This window comes from Homo sapiens, chromosome 4, assembly GCF_000001405.40.
Source record: "Homo sapiens chromosome 4, GRCh38.p14 Primary Assembly".
Lineage (NCBI taxonomy): Eukaryota > Metazoa > Chordata > Mammalia > Primates > Hominidae > Homo > Homo sapiens.
Window position 1 is genome coordinate 86,758,364 of NC_000004.12, and position 19,579 is coordinate 86,777,942.

The 19,579-nt window shown below is 35.8% G+C and overlaps 1 protein-coding gene across 24 annotated transcripts in view; it reads left to right on the forward strand.

Annotated features, from left to right (window-relative positions):
- The window catches only part of PTPN13 (protein tyrosine phosphatase non-receptor type 13), a 220,847-nt gene that overhangs the window by 164,049 nt on the left and 37,219 nt on the right, over positions 1–19,579 (forward strand). For 12 of the 24 annotated variants that reach the window (XM_011532165.3, NM_080685.3, XM_017008512.3 and 9 more), the window contains 14 exons: positions 315–422; positions 579–710; positions 4,364–4,827; positions 6,230–6,376; positions 7,032–7,125; positions 8,069–8,154; positions 9,454–9,613; positions 11,406–11,620; positions 11,738–11,836; positions 12,808–13,172; positions 14,415–14,595; positions 16,010–16,168; positions 16,808–16,979; positions 17,079–17,289. In XM_011532165.3, the coding sequence (XP_011530467.1) occupies positions 315–422; positions 579–710; positions 4,364–4,827; positions 6,230–6,376; positions 7,032–7,125; positions 8,069–8,154; positions 9,454–9,613; positions 11,406–11,620; positions 11,738–11,836; positions 12,808–13,172; positions 14,415–14,595; positions 16,010–16,168; positions 16,808–16,979; positions 17,079–17,289 (2,593 nt within the window). The remainder of the gene's footprint in view (positions 1–314; positions 423–578; positions 711–4,363; positions 4,828–6,229; positions 6,377–7,031; positions 7,126–8,068; positions 8,155–9,453; positions 9,614–11,405; positions 11,621–11,737; positions 11,837–12,807; positions 13,173–14,414; positions 14,596–16,009; positions 16,169–16,807; positions 16,980–17,078; positions 17,290–19,579) is intronic. The other 12 variants (XM_017008511.3, NM_080683.3, XM_017008513.3 and 9 more) reach the window with 1 other exon arrangement.

Sequence of the window (19,579 nt, forward strand, 5' to 3'; positions counted from 1 at the left end):
GATTCTTGAAGGTCTATGATTGTTGGGGATTCAGAGGAAAAGTCTATAGCATAGCATTGGCATTGCAGTGCCAGCTCACTTCTGGTCTCAAGATACTGACTGGCTGCCCACCTACAAGCCCATCAACCTACCCGCCCAGTCACCAAATGCCTAATAAGAAATGCCTACAAGAAATACTTCCACAAAATTTAATATGTGTTACCTACTAATCATTTGATATCAATAGTCCCCACATTTCTGTGTTTCAGGCAGGCTAATCATTAGTCTTTGAAAGCAGCAATATGAAAATCTTTTTAAAATGTGTTATTTTACAGGATTTCAAATTATTGGTGGGGAGAAGATGGGAAGACTGGACCTAGGCATATTTATCAGTTCAGTTGCCCCTGGAGGACCAGCTGACTTGGATGGATGCTTGAAGCCAGGTACTTTACATTTTGGTAGTTTTCTAAGTATTTTCTGACAGGCATGAATTTAGGAACTTAGGCCAAACTAAAATAATTGAGAAAGAGATGATATTTCTAAGATTCAGAATAAATGTATCTTTGTTGTTGAAAATACTGGATTGTCTATTTGTACAGGAGACCGTTTGATATCTGTGAATAGTGTGAGTCTGGAGGGAGTCAGCCACCATGCTGCAATTGAAATTTTGCAAAATGCACCTGAAGATGTGACACTTGTTATCTCTCAGCCAAAAGAAAAGATATCCAAAGGTAATGTGAATGTCTCTTACTTATGTATTCTGTTTCACTTTTCTGTCTCATTCCTTTTTAGTGATATTCGCACAAAAATGGATTCATTGTGTACAAAATTGATGCAACTTAAGTAAACTGTGATTACTTAATGTGTTCCATCTTTCTTTTGTCAAATCAGAGATAGAGTCATTTATCATTGTGTAGTTAATATTACATAATAGTTATATATAAAGTCCTGTCCTGAACCAGATGATGAAAAGGAAAGGACCACCACCAAAAACCAGAAATTTTAAAACAAAACCATATCATTTTGTCTCATTATCCCAGTCTTCAGTGGCTGAGAGACAAAGCACTTGATGAAGATCAGATGACCTGCGTTTGAGCTTTGCCTGTGCCTTTTATTAGCTATATGACTTAAGCCTTCTTGAGCCATAGTTTTCTTTTGTTTTTACTTAAAGAGTAGACAGTGATCTTTGCCCTGCTTTGTCTGCCTTGCACAGAGTTATTTGTTACGAGGATCAAGTGGTAGGACAGTATTTGTGGAAGAAGCACAATAGGCCCCTGTGGCGTAGAACAGTGCAGTGGGAAACAGGGAGGGTTGCAGAATCCAGGGTCAGATTCTGTTTCTACCACCTAAAACTGTACACATTGAGCAAAATCACATGAACCTTCTAAGCCTCACTGTGCTCGTATATCAAATGGTGACTATAAACATGCTTATCTTATAGATTATGAAAATTAAATGAGATAATACATGTAAAGAATGAGCACATTGCCTGGTACATATGAAGCATTTAAATGTGAATTTTAGCTGTCATTAATATTGTTTTTCAAAAACATTGAAGTGCTAGATACAAGTAAGTTACCTTCATGCCAAAGATATTGGGAAATACATAAAAGAATTAGTAAAAAAAATTAGCTGAAAAACAATTTTAGACATAGCTTTGGATTCTTATGATAAAATAGAAGATGAAAAACATGAACATGTTATATGTTGTGATAAAATCTTATTAAATTTTATATAGATGAGTCATTTTGAGTATGATTTCTTCTTACTGGATATTATATATATTTTGTATGTCTGTATATGTACACATATAAATAATATGTTACACACTTGTTTACTGTGAGCAAACACAATCGATAGAAGGGAAATAGAAAACACCACCACTGCCCACAGGAACTTTATATAATCTAATTATAATCTAGTCACATTAGGCAAAGGAAGACAACTACAGTTGGAAATGTTGTAACATACTTCTAAGTTTAAAGCAGCCAAGACTAGAAATTTTACATTGGGTCCCATTATTCACCATTTTTTAACCATTTCTGAATCATAGGAATGCAGAATAAATTTATTGCCCCCTGAATAAAGCTCTAAGGGATTTCCATCTTACTCATGTTTTCAGTAGATGTTTTGTAGAAAATTTATTCATTTGTCCAACAAATATTTATTCAGTGCCTGTGATGTGCAAGACAAAAAACTCTGCCCTAATGGAAGTTACTCTTTATCAGGGGAGGCAAGTATTCTTGTCTGACTAGACAGATTTTTAATTGTAACTATGGTAAGTGTTAACAAGAGGCCCAAGGTGCCAAGAGGGAATATAACAGAGGAACTTTACCTATTGTGAGGATCAGAGGAGCCTTTTCTTCTCAGCAGAGTTTTGTGTGGTTTTTTTTTCTGTCCATGCTAAATAAAAATTAAAAGCATAATGTTAAAAGTATACACCTGTGAAATTGTTTCTTCAGAAAGTAGGTGAATCTTATCATGGTATGTAACTATTCTGTAGTGTCACTTTGAAAAGAGGTAAAACCCAAAAGAACTTAGAAAATTACCAATGTGTATTCTAGCTACCCCTGTTAATTGTTAAGCACCAAAGAGGAAGGCTTTTAGTTTTGTTTTTGTTTGCTAATTTTTAAAGTTACAGAATACATACTAGTTTATTAAAAATAAATCCAATTTATGCAAAACCTATGAAATAAGAAGTTGAAGTCCCCTTACCCCATTTCCTAGGGAAACTTTTTGGCATACATGTAGCCTTCTGTGTAGAATAGATATATATGTGATGTGTGTGTGTGTGTAAATATATATATATATATATATATATATATATAAACACAACACATACACACACTATTTTTTAAAAATCTGTTTTATACTCTAAATACCATTCTGTAACTGCTTACTCAACATATTCTGTTGCTATCCATGTACATGCATATCTTTTTAATGCAACATTATATTTATGTTATAGACATATCAAAACTTACTTAACTTTTCTTCTATTGTTATGTATCCAGGTTAGCTATAATTCTATTATAAATGTTACTCCAACAAATACACCTTTTAATACACCATTGAAAATGTATGTATTTCTAGAGGTTAGATGCCTGGAACTAGATTAAAGAGTATGTACATTAAAATTTTGACAAGTGCCACCAAATTGGACTTCAAAAAGTTTTACCAATTTATAGACTAACCAAGTAGATATAGCAGTGCTTTTCTCCTCATACCATCAGTGGTGCTTAAAATTATCAGTCATTCTCATTTTTGTCAGCCAAATAAGTAGAGAACTGCATTAAACTGCAGGTCCCTGAGCAATAGTGAGAATGTCTTTTCATATATTTACTATTTGTATTTTACTCTGAATTTCCAGTCTACATATCCCTTGTTCCGTGGGAGTTTTGAAAACCTCTTTTTTGTTGAATTTTAGCAACTCTTTGTATATTAGGGATACTAATTCTTTGTTTATTGTTTGTTGTCACAAATATTTTCTCTCCAGTTGCTCATTACTCTTAATTTTTCCCTTGTTGTCAATTACTACATAAAACTTTTAATTTCATATAAATTCTCATCTTTAATTCCTTTACACGTGTCTTTGGTGGTTTGTGTCTTCAGAAAGCTTTTTCAAGTGGCGTTTTGTTTGTTTGTTCTTTGAGACAGTCTTGCCCTGTCACCCAGGCTGAAGTGCAGTAGCACAATCACTGCTCACTGCAGGCTCCGCCTCCCAGGTTCAAGTGATTCTTCTGCCTCAGCCTCCCGAGCAGCTGGGACTCCAGGTGCACACCATCACGCCCAGCTAATTTTTGTATTTTTGGTACAGACAGGGTTTCACCATGTTGGGCAGGCTGGTCTCGAACTCCTGGCCTCAAGTGATCTGCCTGCCTCAACCTCCCAAAGTGCCGGGATTACAGGATTACAGGCATGAGCCACTGCGCTTGGCCTAAAGTGGCTTTTGATAAGAACTATATATAAGCAATTTGGAGTTGCCTTCCATGATAATCACTTGGAGTCCAAAAAGTGCAATCTAGTAGGTCAATATAAAGTAAGTGTGCAAATAACTATTTAATAAGGACAAAGAATGTGGGACACTAAGAAAGTATAAATTATCTGTGGAATCAGTAGAGTCTCCACAGAGAAGCCTGGTTTGAAATGGATCTTGGAGAATGGAAATGGGGAGTTAAGGTGAAAGGGGTATGCATTTCAATAGAGGTTGTCACAAGAATGACCAAAGGAGAAAGCAAAGAAAGTCTACCAAACACATGACCTAATGGTGTTTTGTGTGTCATCCTTATAAAATCCTTCCAACAATCTTCAAGAAACATTGTGTATGTGTGTAAGCACGTGTATCACTAACTTGTTACTCTCATTGATGGATTTTGACTTTTAGTGCCTTCTACTCCTGTGCATCTCACCAATGAGATGAAAAACTACATGAAGAAATCTTCCTACATGCAAGACAGTGCTATAGATTCTTCTTCCAAGGATCACCACTGGTCACGTGGTACCCTGAGGCACATCTCGGAGAACTCCTTTGGGCCATCTGGGGGCCTGCGGGAAGGAAGCCTGAGTTCTCAAGATTCCAGGACTGAGAGTGCCAGCTTGTCTCAAAGCCAGGTCAATGGTTTCTTTGCCAGCCATTTAGGTGACCAAACCTGGCAGGAATCACAGCATGGCAGCCCTTCCCCATCTGTAATATCCAAAGCCACCGAGAAAGAGACTTTCACTGATAGTAACCAAAGCAAAACTAAAAAGCCAGGCATTTCTGATGTAACTGATTACTCAGACCGTGGAGATTCAGACATGGATGAAGCCACTTACTCCAGCAGTCAGGATCATCAAACACCAAAACAGGCATAGTTTAATTTTAATATTTTGGTTTTCTCATTTAACAAAGCAAAATAGCAGCAAATAAGTTACAGAGCACAATAATCTACAAGATGCTTTCATTATTCTGGAAAAAAGAAATAGTTTATATCTTCTAATTGCTACTGCATTTGATGCTAACTTTCAGAGAAATCAACAGCTTTGGATAATAACTTTAAATGGCTATGACTTTGCAAACTTGCTATCTAATAACCCAAAGAAGGAATATGCAGATTATGATTGTTTTCTTACCAGTTGTTTGTCTCTGGCATATTTAATGTTTGTATTAATAAGAGAATTTTAATATCTGAAAATTGTTTCTAAATAGTTCGTATAATGGGCATTTGAATTCACTATTTATAGTCTAAATTCTTCTGAAGTTCTGAATGAATGATGATAACGACATTGAAAATAGCTCATTCTGGCTGGGCACAGTGACCCACATCTATAATCCCAACACTTTGGGAAGCAGAGGTGGGAGGATTGCTTGAGGCCAGGAGTTCAAGATCAGCCTGGGCAACATAGGGAGACCCTATCTCTACAAAACATTTCTTAAAAAATTATCCAGGCAAGGTGGCATGTATCTGTAGTCCTAGCTCCTTGGGAGGCTGGGTGGGAGGATCGCTTAAGCCCAGAAGCCCAGGCGATCGAGCCAGACCCTAACAGAAAGAAGGGAAGGAAAGGAGGAAGGGAGGGAGAGAGATAAGGAAGGGAAGAAAGAGAGTAGCTTATTCCTAGAAATGATACAAATTTAAACTCAAATTCACAAGCAGTTTTAGAAAAAAATCTAACGCCTTTTGTTTACTGAAAAATCAACATTCCTTATAAGAGTTATACTCTTATAAATAGGGCTTAGCTGTTGTTCCCATGTTTATATTATTGGATTTATAAATATAAGTAATGTAAACATGAAATCCCATTTTAGAGGCTTGGGTTAAAAGCTACTGCTTGATATATATTGATTATTAAAGGAAATAAAACTAATTTGTAAATTTAGGAATATAAAAAGCATTGGACCAGGATTATATAAAAGCCAGGTTTGAACTGGGTTCTATATAGGTTTCCATCTGCCATATCTAGCAGTTTGACCTGAAGCAAGCTCTTTAATCTCTGGATATCAGTTTCCTCAACCATAAAATATGAATACATTGGACTAGATGATCTCTAAGATCTCTTCCAACCTTTATGTTCTTTGACTATACTCTATCCTTTAATATCTTGCTTTTTCATAATTTTTCCAAAAACACATATTTGTCTTTCAGTAATAATTCATTTTGATTCTAGCCAGCTTTGTCCTGGGCTAGGTTTAAAAAAAAAGAAATTAAAAAAAGAAAAATTATAATTCATTTTGACTCTAACAAGAAATCTTTGTTTGTTTTTCTTTGTTAAGGAATCTTCCTCTTCAGTGAATACATCCAACAAGATGAATTTTAAAACTTTTTCTTCATCACCTCCTAAGCCTGGAGATATCTTTGAGGTTGAACTGGCTAAAAATGATAACAGCTTGGGGATAAGTGTCACGGTACTGTTTGACAAGGTTTTCAAATGTTTTCTCTTCTTTAATTTCCAGCAGCCTATTGTATGTCAACTTTTTAATTGAATTATTTTGCATCAAAAGGGACACATCAAATACCTCCAAAATTCTAAAACTGAATCATATCTAAAAACTATTTTAAAAATTGTGTTAGTCACTTTTTCCTGTGATTTTAAAAAAATTAGACAAACACTACCTTTTTCTCCATAGATTTAATACTTGCTTTATCTGAATATAAAACTTGCAAATTGTAAAATTAATGTAATGCTTTGTAGATATTTGACAGTTTCTACGTGAGCATAGATTATATATCTCTAACCTACATTATTAGTAATTAAAGACTGTATATTTCTGTATACTCTCCATAATATGTAATACCTTGTAAACATGTTAGTATCTTAAAATTAGAAGTTCCCAAGGAATATATGTATCTTTAAGGTAGTCAGAATGTGAGCATAGGCTATTTGATAAAATTATTTTTGAATTATACTGATGAATATAATATCCCTCATTAGTATACTAATGAATATACTGTACATCAGCACATGCTGATGGGATGTCACTGCTTTGGCTAATGAATCCTTTCTAGGCCTGAGATTTGAAAGAGAGTGCAAAATTTTTCATGTTATAAAATATTATTTTGTCTTTTTCTCTTTAGGGAGGTGTGAATACGAGTGTCAGACATGGTGGCATTTATGTGAAAGCTGTTATTCCCCAGGGAGCAGCAGAGTCTGATGGTAGAATTCACAAAGGTATAGTGTTTATATTATGTGGGAATTATATGTATGAATATTACAACAAATAGATAAGAAATTATAAAGTTGATAACTGACCTTCAAATTCATGATATGAAATAAGAACATACTCAATTATAAAACTGTAGCATTAAGAAACTCTTTGATGCCATTTCAAAAACTCTTCTTTCCAGCTTATTTTCTAGTATCAGAAGATATCTATACATCAACATTGTGTGAGAAGTTAAAAAAATTAAAAAGGAAAGAAAATATCTAGACAGTGCTTTCATTCATATTTTACATGTACTATGAAGCAAATTGCTGTAAAAACACTGTCATCTACACTTGTTTTTTTTGTTGTTGTTTTTTTTTTTCGAGACAGAGTCTCACTCTGTCACCCAGGCTGGAGTGCAGTGGTGCGATCTCAGTTCACTGCAACCTCCGCCTCCTGGGTTCAAATGATTCTTGTGCCTCAGCCTCCCAAGTAGCTGGGACTACAGGCGCCCACCACCATGCCGGGCTAATTTTTGTATTTTTAGTAGAGACAGGTTTTCACCATGTTGGCCAGGCTGGTCTCGAACTCCTGACCTCAGGTGATCCCCCCACTTTGGCCTCCCAAAGTGTTGGGATTACAGGCGTGAGCCTCTGAGCCCAGCCTGATATCTACACTTTTAGTAAGGACTAACTAGGAACTTTCCTCCAATCTCTATATATTTATAGTTCAACTTATCTTCTCTCTTGATTTAAATTTATTTTTATAAAGATACTGTTCTAAAATATACTTAACATTAGACATAAGATTGGGGAATAAATTAAATAACATATTAAAGAAACTCTGTAACACAATTTCTTCCAGAATTTGCCTGAGTCCCTCCTCAAACAAATGAATACGAAATAAGACCATAAGATTTAAAAGAACATGTAGGATTTTTATTTATGATTTGAACTGCCTAATTTTTAGGTGATCGCGTCCTAGCTGTCAATGGAGTTAGTCTAGAAGGAGCCACCCATAAGCAAGCTGTGGAAACACTGAGAAATACAGGACAGGTAACAGATCATTATACCAACCTTTTACAGTACCTTAGAAGAGCAAAACAATGTGTGAATAACATCAGTTCTCATTGAGATCTCTAAATTTGTCAGCTAATCAAGAAACCAAGCCTGATATATATAACCATCTGGGTTGTTGATTTTTCCTTCCAAATTGAAATGCAAGTATTACAAGACATTTTTTACTGAGGAAGCTGACTTTCTATGTCACATTTAACGCTTACATTACCAAAGAGATCTGATGGGGGAGGGATGGAAATTGCATTTTAAATTTGTTGTATAAACATCTCATTTCTAGTGGTTTTCACTCTTATTCTTTAGCCTTAACACAAAATTTATTTTGTTGAAGTACATTTTGAGTTAGGGAGTTTAACCAAATTATCTATAATGGTCTTTGGAGGTTTTTGTTGTTGTTTTGAGACAGGGTGTTGCTGTGAGGCCCAGGCTGGAGTGCAGTGGCGCAATCACGGCTCACTGCAACCTTGACTTCCCAGGCTCAGGTGATCCCCCTGCCTCAGTCTCCCAAGTAGCTGGGACTACAGGCTTGTGCCACCATGCCTGGCTAGTTTATTTTTTATTTCTTGTAGAGATTGGGGGCGGGGGGTCTCCCTATGTTGCCCATGCTGGTCTCGAACTCCTAGACAAGAAGTGATCTTCTTGCCCCAGCCTACCAAAGTGCTGGGACTACAGTGGGACTACAGGCGTGAGCCACCACACCTGGCTTTTTTTTTTTTTTTTAATTGAGATGGAATTTCGCTCTTGTCACCCAGGCTGGAGTGCAATGGCATGACCTCGGCTCATTGCAACCTCCGCCTCCCAGAGTCAAGCAATTCTCCTGCCTCGGCCTGTCAAGTAGCTGGGATTACAGGTGCCCACCACGACACCTGGCTAATTTTTATATTTTTAGTAGAGATGGGGTTTCACCATGTTGGCCAGGCTGGTCTCCAACTTCTGACCTCAGGTGATCTGCCCACCTTGGCCTCCCAAAGTGTTAGGATTACCAGCATGAGCCACTCCACCTGGCCATTATCATACATTTCTAACATGTATTATATTTATAATAGATTCTTTTTAATCATTTATCTTTCTATACAGAAATGTAATAAAAACTTGATTTTGGAACTTTCAACCCCTTGCTTTTGTTCCTCTATTTTTTTTTTCTCCCCCTTCATTTGGTGGACCAAATTTGGTAGTTACTTTAAATGATTTTATACCATTAACTATACAAAGTCCTGAAAATGTATCTATTTTCTTAGCATTCTTCTTAATTAATGAAATGCTATTTTACTTATCCAGGTGGTTCATCTGTTATTAGAAAAGGGACAATCTCCAACATCTAAAGAACATGTCCCGGTAACCCCACAGTGTACCCTTTCAGATCAGAATGCCCAAGGTCAAGGCCCAGAAAAAGTGAAGAAAACAACTCAGGTCAAAGACTACAGCTTTGTCACTGAAGGTCAGGCCTTGGGAGACTACAATCTCACCTTTAAATTATTCCTCGCCTATTCAAAATTTGATTTTTACATGTTGGATTACAGTTAATGCCCTAGTTTTGTTCATTATTCTTGTCAAGTACAAATAATAATCTGACATCACACCATACTGAATAAAGACAGAAACATATTTGCAGCTCATAGGGTCTGAAAGACTTTGGATAATAAAGTCATGCATGATTATGGTCTTTTAAAAATGCTTTAAATTGTTGTAAAATTCAAAATAGAATTTGGTAAGTGAAAAAATAAAGAAAAACAAATGCTGAGATGCCTTCAAACCCATGGGAAACCTTGACCCTTAGATTTTTGTATTTCTATTTAATTTAATTTTAAGAACTGTGAATCAAACTCTGGGCAGATATTCACATAGTAGTGCCCAGAAAGTGGTCTTTGTTACAAACTATGCTAGCCTTTGGACAGATCACTAATTGGTAGTAAGAAAATTAAGAATGACAGTGGCTTTCCAGTACCCTTTAAGATTCTGTCTTCTTAAGAGGTTTATATTTCCTTTACTTTATAAATGATGGTGATGGTGTACAGTCATTGTTTTATTTTACACAAACGTTAGCAACTCTGAATCAGTCCCCAAAATAATGAGAAAAAATAACACAGACTATATTATTTTTTCCTGAATATGAAAATAAAATTAATGTACTCATTTTATCATACTGCTCTTTATTCTTTATTTCTTCCATCTTTTTTTTTTTTTTTTTTTGAAACAGAGTCTCGTTCTGTTGCCCAGGCTGGAGTACAGTGGCGCAATCTTGGCTCACTGCAACCTCCGCCCCTGGGTTCAAGCTATTCTCCTGCCTCAGCTTCCTGAGTAGCTGAGATTATAGGCACACACTGCCACATGCGGCTAATTTTTGTATTTTTAGTACAGACGGGGTTTCACCATGTTGGCCAAACTGGTCTTGAACTCCTGACCTCAGGTGATCCGCCCTCCTCAGCCTCCCAAAATGCTGGGATTACAGGTGTGAGCCACCACACCCAGCCCCATCATTCTTTCTTTAAATAGATTTTTTTTTTAAACACCCAAGCCAACCATGAGCAAAGACTTTAAATGTATTTTTTAATTATTTTCTGGTTATTGTTCTTTTAATTTATTTAGCTGATAAGAAATTTATTGAAATATTGCAATTTATCTGAGTTAAATTACACCTCCCCAGAACATTACAATTTCAATTTATTTCCACATAACCTCCTCTAACATTTATTTTGTTCTTCTTTTCATCTTTCTCACGCTGTATACCTGAGTTTCTCCCATACCTGTCCTTCTGTGGAGTTTCCCCTTTTTTTGTCTGTTATCGTACTCTGTTTTGTTTTGTTTTTGTAGAGATTGGATCTCACTGTATTGCCCAGGCTGGTCTCAAACTCCTGGGTTCAAGCAACCCTCCTACTTCGGCCTCCCAAAGTACTGGGGTTTATAGGCATGAGCCACTGTGCCTGACCATAGTGTCTTTTAAAACACACAAGTTTGATGCATAATTCCATTTTCAGAATCCTACTTTCAGAACTCTCCTTCCTAATCAAACAGCTTAGTTCATGCAGTTAGTTGATAAGATTTCTTAATGATGGAAATAGACTGTAAGATACAGCTTCAGTATACCATTGGAGTGCAGTAAGTACATACAGAGCTATAAATACGGGAAAATGGGCTTTTAAAATGTGTCTAGAAGTATATATGTTTGTATGTTCCTATGTAAACACAGCATGTTAATAATATCTAAATTTTTTTTATATCTTTTTCTCCAGAAAATACATTTGAGGTAAAATTATTTAAAAATAGCTCAGGTCTAGGATTCAGTTTTTCTCGAGAAGATAATCTTATACCGGAGCAAATTAATGCCAGCATAGTAAGGGTTAAAAAGCTCTTTCCTGGACAGCCAGCAGCAGAAAGTGGAAAAATTGATGTAGGAGATGTTATCTTGAAAGTGAATGGAGCCTCTTTGAAAGGACTATCTCAGCAGGTGAGCCCCTAGCATGTGGAGTATAGCATTTTTAATGATGAGATGGATTGGCCTTTCAGAATGGTTTCATAATGCTGGTTTAACTGTACCTTCATTTGTCATTCATGGTACCCCCAGGAAGTCATATCTGCTCTCAGGGGAACTGCTCCAGAAGTATTCTTGCTTCTCTGCAGACCTCCACCTGGTGTGCTACCGGAAATTGATACTGCGCTTTTGGTGAGACTTATGAAAAGTAATTTACAGTTTTATAGAATATCAACTTAGCAACTAACTAATTCAGCTGTGGTGGTTTCATCATGAATTGTTCTCCTGGGTTTCATACCTAGCTACTTGTTTTAGGTAGGCATGTTATCTTGTATGTGACAACTTCTTTGAATGTATTCCATATTTATATAATAATACAAAGTAATTTATTCAATTTATTTAACTAGGATTTATCAAGTACTGACTTCAGGCATTTTAATGGGCACTGATACTAGTTATTATGTTGAGCAGGTCACAAACTGTTATTCCTCATCTGCAAAACAATGGTTAAAAATCTCTTTAATAGGAAAATAACATTTCTGTAAGATGCATTATAAATAGCATTTTAAAGGACTACATTGATTTGAGGCACCAGATAGGAAAAAGTGAATGAAACTCTCTTGATGAGCGTATAAGTTGGTATCAGTTTTTAGAAAACAATTTGGAAATACTTAATTAGGCTATTAAAAATGGCCTATATTCTGACAGTATAGAAAATTACAAAGTAATAGAAACTCAGGTAAAAATTTACATACAAAGAAGTTCTTCTAGATTTCTATTAATAATGAAAAGGTAGAAACAACTCTGTCCAATAAAAGGAGAAGGCAGAAATAAAGGTATAGCCATCCATTGGACCATTATACAGGTATTAAAATTGTTTTAAAGCATATTTAAGGACTTAAGAAAATATTTATGGTAGAACCCTAATTTTTGAGAGTATGAGACAAAATATATAATACTACTGTAGTTCTAACTTAAGGTATAAATTGTACAATATTAACTGTTATTTTATATATTATTTTCTCTATTGAACATAAATTACTTTTATCATCAGAAAATTCAATGCATACTTTAGTAGAAAGTTGTTCAATGGTTTATTTTCAAATAAATGCTTCTAAAATTCATAGAATGGTCACAAATCTCTTTAAATGTGTCCATTACAGACCCCACTTCAGTCTCCAGCACAAGTACTTCCAAACAGCAGTAAAGACTCTTCTCAGCCATCATGTGTGGAGCAAAGCACCAGCTCAGATGAAAATGAAATGTCAGACAAAAGCAAAAAACAGTGCAAGTCCCCATCCAGAAGAGACAGTTACAGTGACAGCAGTGGGAGTGGAGAAGATGACTTAGTGACAGCTCCAGCAAACATATCAAATTCGACCTGGAGTTCAGCTTTGCATCAGACTCTAAGCAACATGGTATCACAGGCACAGAGTCATCATGAAGCACCCAAGAGTCAAGAAGATACCATTTGTACCATGTTTTACTATCCTCAGAAAATTCCCAATAAACCAGAGTTTGAGGACAGGTATCATCAATATAATGTGAACCGCTCAAAGCAACTGGTTGTTGTTAGTAGCAGTAGCAGCAACATGCATTTCTCTTAAGAATGAAATGTATGTATCTGTGACCTTCACAGTGGTTAGGCAGAGGATGACTCTATTGGATGTCTAGCTATTGTGACTGATAGTTTTAGTTAGCAAACCAATAAGCTCTCTAGTCAGTCAGCCTGAGTCTTTCTTCCCTCTTGAGCATATTTACTAGTAACTGAGAAAGTTATTTGTATTTCACTGTTAATCATACTACTTAAACAGAAACAGAATAGACTTATTTAGGCAGTAACACAGTGGGAGACTAGGGACCAGAAATATAGAGGGGAGATAAGGGCAGAGAGTTTGCAAAAGGTAAGACAAAGAAGATGGGGAAAAGAAGAAATGATTGAAAACATAGAAGCATACAAAGAGAAGGACTACATCAATACATTGCATAATTATTCATACATTTTACTCTTTGGTTATGTCTTTGTATCTATCCACATCCAACTTTATTTATTCAAGTTTTTTTCCTTTGTATTTTATCCAAAATAACCACAGGAGTCAGACTTTTATTCTTCTTTCTTCTTTTCCTTATTATGTTGAAACACACATTAAGCTTCTGATAACATTAGCTTCAGCTTTGAATTAACAACTAGAAATCAAAAGAATTTTATTTAACCTATCTTGCTGACTTTATGCAGCTTAAAGAGCTTCATCAAAATAGAACCTAGGCCGGCGCGATGGCTCACGTCTGTAATCCCAGCATTTTGGGAGGCCAAGGCAGGTAGATTGCCTGAGCTCAGGAGTTCGAGACCAGCCTGGGCAACATGGCAAAATCCCATCTCTACTAAAAATACAAAAATTAGTTGGGCATGGTGGCACACACTTGTAATCCCAGCTACTTGGGTGGCTGCGGCAGGAGAATCACTTGATCCTGGGAGGCAGAGGCTGCAGTGAGCCGAGATTTCACCACTGCACTCCAGCCTGGGCAACAGAGTGAGACCGTGTCTCAACAACAACAACAAAAAAAACCTAGACAGAGAATAAATTATTGTTAATTTTAACATTTAACAGATATGGAGTAAATTCATAGTCCAGAGTCATACAAAAAGTAACTAGGATCTCAATCAAAATCAGACATGAATATTTGTTAAGTGTTTTCTGTTTCTGGCACAAACTAACCATATTGACATTGAAATGTATTTAAAAATAGTCTTACTTCTTTGTCTCTGTAGTAATCCTTCCCCTCTACCACCGGATATGGCTCCTGGGCAGAGTTATCAACCCCAATCAGAATCTGCTTCCTCTAGTTCGATGGATAAGTATCATATACATCACATTTCTGAACCAACTAGACAAGAAAACTGGACACCTTTGAAAAATGACTTGGAAAATCACCTTGAAGACTTTGAACTGGTAAGTTGTTTTCTCTATATTTAAAAAAAAATCCATATTTTTTAAAAGAAGGTGTGTTCATAAAGTTTCCCTTTAGGGAAAAAGCTATCTTTAAAATAGCTTCATATGTGTGTCTAATAAATGGATAACATATCTGGTATGTTTCTGTGCTGAGAAATTAGGAAATAAGGCAAAAAGACCTGAGTATAAATCCTGACTCTACCACTGACTTGCTACAATTTGGCAGACTCCTATGGACCAATCACTTAATTCTTCTGAGTCTTGGTAACTTTGACTATAAAATGGAGCAAGTAACCTCACAGGGTTGTGGTGAAGATTAAATGAAATAACATATGTAAAGCACGTAGTATAGTATCTGCTACAGAGTAGACCCTTAGTAAATATTATTTTTGTCTGCTTCTCAAATTCTGATGAGTTACCTATTTGATTTTTAACCAAGTTTGAATGTAATTTTTTTTTTCTCCTCCACACTTTTTTTGTGTGCTCAGATGGAATCCTTTACATTGTAATAATAGTCCTAGAACTTCTAAACCTACAAATAAGATTTAGAAACAAAATTTCCAAGTATAATATCCTTTACATTGATTGAAAGTTAGCCTTTTTAAATACTGCTTTTATTATCCAAGTAATAAATGTTTATTGTAGAAAAATTATTAAGGAGAGAAGAAGATTAAAGCCACTATAATCTGATTACCCCAAAACTGTTAACATTTTGGAGCTAAATTTCCAGTTACCCTTTTTTTTTTGCCTATAATTGTGCATGTGTGTATTGGAGATGAGGGGTGTGCAGCATCTACATCTTCAGTTTCATTCTTAGCAATAGAGTAAAAATAATCTTTAATTTTTCTTAGAAATCTTTCACCCTTGTAAACAACCTCCGTGTCTCATTTGAAATCTTTTAAAAGTATATTTTATTTATACAACAAAATTAATAAGATTGTGATAATCACCGAAAGACTTCATATTTTTACCAAAAAAAAAGCTTTGTTGTGGCTCTTTGCATCTGTTTAGAAATATATGGCTCTTTGCATTTGTTTAGAAATATATGAATTTTTTTTCTGAACCTTTCCTCCAGAAAGTATTTTTTGATCATCAAAGTATAACCACTATTGTGTCCTTATTTATCCTAAAAATATAAGAAAGAAAGCAGGAGTAAATTCTGTCTCTGCTGTCTCTAGACAAACATAATGTTGTGCTTAAACATAACTTTTACGTGGGATGCAGTGGGGGGACAGTCTGTCTAGAATCAGACAGACTGTCTAGAGTCAGACAGACTTGACTTCTTCACTTGGACAAGTTAAGTAACCTTTTAAGGTTTGACTTTCTCCTCTGTTAAGGGAAATGATAGTCATCTTTCTGTTTGTCTATAGTGCAGAATAGACAACCTAAAAGTATTACTGCTTTTTTCCCTTAGGAAGTAGAACTCCTCATTACCCTAATTAAATCAGAAAAAGGAAGCCTGGGTTTTACAGTAACCAAAGGCAATCAGAGAATTGGTTGTTATGTTCATGATGTCATACAGGATCCAGCCAAAAGTGATGGAAGGCTAAAACCTGGGGACCGGCTCATAAAGGTGAGACATTTAAGAGGAATGGATTATTTGTGTAAATGTAGACAAAGAGCAAGCCAGAAAAAGAAGATTGAATTATTGTAATACTGTATTTATCTATTCGGTTTATGCTTTCTGTTTCCACCACTTAAAAGTAAAGGCCTTCATATCGTTAACAGTTTGGGAAATTATTTTATATATATATATATATATATTTTTTACTATACTTTAAGTTCTAGGGTACATGTGCACAACGTGCAGGTTTGTTACATATGTATACATGAACCGTGTTGGTGTGCTGCACCCATTAACTTGTCATTTACAAATTTGAAAGTCCCTTTAATCTCAGTAAGGCATAAAACAAGCTATCTTAGGTCTCAAGGACAGAAAGTTTAAATTACTTAGAGGATGAATTTCCTAGATTAGCAAAATAATGATGCATTTGTTAGGGATTTAACATTATTATTTCATTGTAATGGCTTGATCGTTGTGCCTATGATTTCCATAATAAAGGGGATTACCAATAAATTAGAGATCACTGTTGTGAATCTCTTACTAGCTAATATATATTATAAATTAGGAGGATTATTGTATTTTCTTGGCAATTTAGCTTCTCTTTTCTAAAAATTGTGATCTTCACATGCCCCTTTCTTGTTTTTGTAGGTTAATGATACAGATGTTACTAATATGACTCATACAGATGCAGTTAATCTGCTCCGGGCTGCATCCAAAACAGTCAGATTAGTTATTGGACGAGTTCTAGAATTACCCAGAATACCAATGTTGCCTCATTTGCTACCGGACATAACACTAACGTGCAACAAAGAGGAGTTGGGTAATGAAAAGTCAAACTTTGTACAATATGATTTTCTTGGTTAGCTTAAGAGTAAGTACTTTTATGACTGAGAAAACAAATATTTTCTATTATTTCAAGGTTTTTCCTTATGTGGAGGTCATGACAGCCTTTATCAAGTGGTATATATTAGTGATATTAATCCAAGGTCCGTCGCAGCCATTGAGGGTAATCTCCAGCTATTAGATGTCATCCATTATGTGAACGGAGTCAGCACACAAGGAATGACCTTGGAGGAAGTTAACAGAGCATTAGACATGTCACTTCCTTCATTGGTATTGAAAGCAACAAGGTACTCTGCAATTATTTATGAGTTTTGATTGTGCGTGTGTGTGCATTTCAGGTCATTGATTATACTTCATTCTCTGAAAATATATTACTGAATTAGTAATTCATAGACTAAATTGGCAGGACTTAATAAATTTAAAACAGACTTCTTGATAGGCGATTTTGAGAACACTAAGTGAATAATAGAATGGTTACCACATTTATCAGTTAGGATGTTTTCACTTGCAAGTAATAGAAAATAAAACTCAACTTTTGTTTAACAAGAAAGGGAATTTATTGGGAGTTTTTTTGTTTTGTTTTGTTTTCTTTTCTTTTTTAGACAGTTTCACTCTTGTTGCCCAGGCTGGAGTGCGGTGGTGCAATCTTGGCTCACTGCAACCTCCGCCTCCCAGATTCAAGCAGATCTCCTGCCTCAGCCTCCCAGGTAGCTGGGATTACAGGCACCCGCCACCACGCCAGGCTAATTTTTGTATTTTTAATAGAGACGGGGTTTCACCATGTTGGCCAGGCTGGTCTCGAACTCCTGACCTCAGGTGATCCACCCGCCTTGGCCTCCCAAAGTGCTGGGATTACAGGCGTGAGCCACCCTACCTGGCCCGAAATTTATTGGTTTATATTGGACTTTAGAAGTCCCAGAGATAGGGTGGTCATCAGGTGAAATCTGATCAGGGCTCTACCTTAATTTATTTGCTATTTTTAGTTATTTCCTCCTCCCTGTTATCAGTTTTCAAAAGACTACATCATTTTCATACTTCCCACCTGTATACCACATCACATCACCTAGAGCAGTCTTCAAACAGAAATCTCACCAATCACTACTATTTAAGCAAGTACTGTGTACCAATTGCGTTATGCCTAAATTAAGGTCAATCTCTAAGTTGGAAGCAAGGGATAAGAATATACAGATGCTCCTCATACAGTGGGGTTACATCCCAGTAAACCCATGGTAAATTGAAAATATCATAAGTCAAAACCACATTTAAAATACCCAACCTACCAAACATCACAGCTTATTAGCCTAGCCTAGCCTACCATAAACAGTTTTACATTACTTACATTACATTATCCTACAGTTGGACAAAATCATCTAACACAAAGCTTATTTTATAATAAAGTGTTGAATATCTCATGTAATTTATTGAATACTGTAATGGAAATGAAACACAGGATGATTGTATGAGTATTCAAAGTATGGTTTCTACCAAATGCATGTCACTTTTACAGTGTCATAAAGCTGCACCATCGTAAGTTGGGGACCATCAGTATCGATTGGCTTAAGCCAGTCCTGGCTCATTCCCAGAGCTGGGATAGGATTAATCCCACTGGAACTTCATGCCTGCTACCCATGAGGCATAGAACTACCGCATCTACTCAACCTTATAACAGTTTCACATTATAAAACATGCTAATAGCAACTTTTCTTTCACTTATAATGGAAACAGATTGAGAAAATGTATTAGTTTCCTATTGCTATTATAAAAAATTACTATAAGTTTAGTGGCTTAAAACAACACAAGTTTATTATATTAACGTTCTGAAGGTCTGAAATACAAAATGGGCCTTACTGTGGTAAAATCAAGGTGTCAGCAGGGCTGCATTCCTTCTGTAGGTCCCAGGAGAAAATCTATTTTCTACCCTCTAGAGACTCCCCATACACCTTGGTTTATGGCTCACTTCCATCTTCAAAGCTAGGAACTGCAGCACCCTCTGCTTCTGTTGCCACGTCTCTTTCTGTGACTCAGACTTTCCTGCCTCCCTCTTTCACTTATTAGGACCCCTGTGATTATAATGGGCCCACCCAGATAATCCAAAATAACCTCCCCACATCAAAATCTGAACCTAATCATATATACAGTTTCTTTTGCCATATAAATAGTAATATCTTCAGAGGTTCTGAGGATTAGAACAGAATCATTAGAATGTAAACATCTTGGAAGGGGATTATTCTGCCTACCACAATTTACAGGAATCCAGGCTTTCTAGATTACAGACTTAAGTCATATAAAGGAAAAATTCACATTTTTGTTTGTGAATTATTTCTTTTAAAGTATGGGAACTTGTTGATCAAATCATTGATGATAAGCTTATTTATTCCTTCTGAACCTGTAAATTAGATTGTGTACTTTTTTTTCCCCTTGAACATAGTCTTTGACTTGATTCCTTCATATATGTCTAAAAATTGGATTGGCATACAATTGTTTTCATAGATCTACTTGAATGTTAATTAGGAGGGGAGGGAAGTCTTCAAACAACCTGGAAAGTATTTTTGTGAAAATTAACATTTTTGCTAACTT